The sequence below is a fragment of the Homo sapiens genome, chromosome 4, assembly GCF_000001405.40.
Source record: "Homo sapiens chromosome 4, GRCh38.p14 Primary Assembly".
NCBI lineage: Eukaryota > Metazoa > Chordata > Mammalia > Primates > Hominidae > Homo > Homo sapiens.
The window spans coordinates 184,070,373-184,074,420 of NC_000004.12; the positions used below are offsets into that span (position 1 = coordinate 184,070,373).

The following is a 4,048-nucleotide window of genomic DNA, read 5'->3' on the forward strand; positions in this document are numbered from 1 at the left end:
TCTTTATAAATTACCCAATCTCAGGTACTTCTTTATAGCAAGGTGAGAATAGGCTAACAGGATACTTCTTTGGGATACCGTGTCTTCTGGAAAGAAGTTATCTATAGCTCCCAAGTCCCTGCAGCCCAGTGATGAGCATTTGAAATGAAAGCGTGGAGGTCTTGTCCTTTCTCTCTACCTCTGCTTCCCAGCAGGGCTGACAGAGCATTTCTCACTCAGGGCCATGGCAGCCACAGGGAGGGCATCGAGTCTCACACGGGGATGCTGGGCTGTCGTTTCTTAATGTAGTCCAAAGCCATTGCTGCCTGTAGACTTGAGGAATCTTTCTGTCAAGAGAGAGGAGTGTGTGCAGAGCGACCCCAGAGAAGGATGCCTTTCAGCAATGTTTGAATTGCTGTGTTTTGTTTGGCTGCTGGATGATCCTTTTTCAAAACATATACTTTAATGCAGGTATTTTATATGTGTGTTTTCATACTATAATTTCCTTCTCTGTCTTTTTGTTTTAAAGCTCTTCTTTTTTAATTGTAGGTTCATTTTGATCGTAAGTTCATTATAGAAATTTGTAAAATACAGAAGGTATAATGGTGAAAATTAAAATTACCTACAGTCTTACCATCCACAGAGATAACCACTACTATTTTGGTGTGTTTTCTTTAGTTTTTTCCTTGCTTTTTAAAAAACATATTTGACATGACCAATATGACTAAAAACCAGCTTTTTCTTCTAGAAACCTTGGTTCATTTCTTGGACAGTGATGTTTATTCACAGACCTGGTGTTTGAGAATGTCAATGGGTATGTAATTGTTTCTAGGTCTTTTTGGTGAAGACAGCTAGAAAATAGATATTTAAATATAAAATCTCCATGAGTTTTTACTCTTATTCTTTTACTTTTTTACTTAACCTCTTCTATTTTATATCTGCATCTCCTTTCTTTCACACTGAGAAGTCTGGTTCTCAATGACACAGGAATGATATATGTATTAGTCCATTCTCATGCTGCTGATAAAGACATACCCGAGACTGGGTAGTTTATAAAGCAGAAGAAGTTTAATGGACTCGCAGTTCCATGTGGCTGGGGAGGCCTCACAATCATGGCAGAAGGCAAAAGGCATGTCCTACATGGTGGCAGACAAGAGAGGATTGAGACCCAATTCTCTCAATTGGGTTTCAATTGAGAGAATTGAAAGGGGTTTCCCCTTATAAAACCATCAGATCTCATGAACATGAGAACAGAATGGGGAAAACTGCCCCCTCATTCAATTATCTCCCACTGGGTCCCTCCCACAACACATGGAATTATGGGAGCTACAATTCAAGATGAAATGGGTGAGGACACAGCCAAACCATATTAATATAATTAGAATATTCCATATTAATTCATATGCTTTATTCTATATTACTTATACAATCATCTCAGAATAACAGTACAAATACTCCCATCACCAATGTGATTACTGAAAACAGTGTTTTTACTACATATATTTTCCCTATTTATCCTTCCCCCATTTTAAAATGATTGTACTATGTCTACACTGTCAAGACACAACCACTGCATGATGTATGCTCACCTCTGTTCTGTGTGGACTGTACGTTTACTGTTCATTACCAGAACTCATATCAATGTTTCTCTGGTCATTTTTATTGTCTGAATCTTGTTCTCTAGTAGATTCTTCAGAAAGGATCCATGAGGACAATATTTTCTAAATTCTTTCATGTTGATACCAGTATGTACCTTTTATTCTTGAGAAAATCCATTTTGCTGGTCATAAAATTCTTGGTTCACATTTTCTTTCCATTAGTATCTCAAACATGTTAGTCCATTTTCTTCTGCCATAAAGCATTGTGTTTGAAAAGACTTTTCATTATAAATTGCTTCCTGTTTTTGCTTAGATGCCCAAAAAAGATTTTTCCTTGTCTTAAATTCAAGTCTAGTTTGGTTTTGGTATTTGTGGTTCTGGTTGATATTCACAGGTATGTGGCATGTTCTTTTAGTGTGTAGTCTCAGGTTTTTTCTTTTTAATTTCAGGAAAGTTTTCTTGCTTTGTTGGCTTCCCAGCTCATTTTCTTGTACTAACAATATTTGAGGATCATCTGGATAGATGGAGAAAATAAAGAAGCCTATGGTGCTAGTAAATTCACTGGATTGGGGCTGTCCACTCTAGTTAACAACCTTACTGATGCCCAAGACTATATTATCTTTCATGAACTTGTAAAAATTGATGTGAAGCCATCAGATAAAGATGTGCATGAAGAAGACATAGAGAACAGAGGATTTGAATACCCACACCTTCCAGCACCACAGATTAATGATTGCTTTCCCAAATATACCTGTTCCTGTCCCAGTGGGTACAATCTAAAGGAAAATGGCAGAGAGTGTCAAAGGATCACTGTGACCACTCTGGTATCAAAAGTCAGTGTTCCTCCAAAGGAGACTTCTCCTGTCTGGGTCATCCTTCCTCTTTTGCTCTAAGCAATGGCAGCAGTAGGTGGATACTTGAGTGGCAGAACTGGCAACACAAGAACATAAAAGGTGTGATCTTTGACAATCCTGTGTACTTGAAAACCATGGAAGAGGACCTCTTAATGGACATGGGTAGACATGGTGCTTCTGGTGGATGCACGTGCCCAGTAATACCGGTCATAAGCACAGATGATGACTCAGCTTGACTTCTAAGACCAACTTAGAAGTCTCGACTTCTGAGGTCCACATCAATAATTCCCTACTTTGGAAGGGTAACAAAGCCAGAAGATGAGGCCGTTTCTTCCTCCAGCCTGGAGGAACCTCACGATATCTCTGTTGTGGATAAAGCTTGTGTATTTGACCCTTGCTGTGGTTTGAGTTTGTCCCCATCAAAACTCATGTTAAAATTTGGCCCCCAGTGTAGCGGTGTTGGGAGGTGGGGCCTAGTGGGAGGTGTTTGGGTCATGGGGTGCAATCCTCATGAATGCTTTCAACTCCTTCCTTCTTCACAGACACTGACATGATGCAGGCCTTATAGCTATTGGTAGCTTGACCCCATCTACTTGTATCTTGGGGTTCTTGGGGATACTTTGTCACTCAGTTTTGTTATAAATGTCTGTCTGGTTGATTTTGTTGTTCAATATTTTTAATATGGGGATTCAGGGAGATTTAAAAAAAACAGTCTCTGCTGCCATTATTACCTTCCCAGAATCTCTTTCAACTTTATTTCTTTTTAATTAAAAATGAGCATAATGAGCCTGGGGCTCTGTCTCCACCAGGCACATCCCCTGCCTTGCACAGCTCTCAGTTGATAGCAGGTTGCTCTTCCTCTGGTGCTCAGAGCTGCATTTCCACAGATACTATCTCAGTGCCCACCCATAAGCCACCATTTCTTTTCCATATCCTTAAAGCAGATCACAGCCGTAATGAGCTACCCACACACATTCTCCAGGGGATCTCTAAAGGTGCCAATTGTTATTTTTGTCAATGCTTTGATTATAAAATTGCACAGGTTTTGAGACACTTATTTTAACCTCATTTTTTCCATAAACCCTATGACATTTAGTAACACAGCTTTACAGAAGGTGAAAATTTTCAGTAAAACATATCTCATGTTATTACAGAAACAGATGCATGTATTCATGTATGACACATATGAAAGAGCACTTGAAATCATTAAAGATAAATGTATAGAAAACTACATGAGTGAATAAAACAGGACAGTTGCTAACCCAGGAAAAAACACATGGTATTAAGAAAAGAAATAATCACTGCAAAGTGAACAATGTTGACATAATCATAATATTTGAAACACTGATTATCACTCTAAGTACAACTTGTGAAATAATCACAGTGAGAGGAAAAGATGAGTGCAGCGGGCACTAGGCGTCAATAGATGCTGTCCAAAAATGTAAGAAATAATGTCATAAACATATTGATTACAGACAAAACATGGAGATATATACCAGAAGAAAAACAAAAACTGCTAAAAGATCAAACCCAGAGGACTTAAAGGAATGGAACAGGGAGTTACTGGTTTTTTTTTTTTTTTTTTTTTTTTTTTTTTGAAACGAGGTCTTCCTCTGT

At 38.4% G+C, this 4,048-nt stretch overlaps 1 pseudogene; it reads left to right on the top strand.

The window, feature by feature from the left end:
• LOC100421006 (very low density lipoprotein receptor pseudogene) lies at positions 2,050-2,827 on the top strand (annotated as a pseudogene).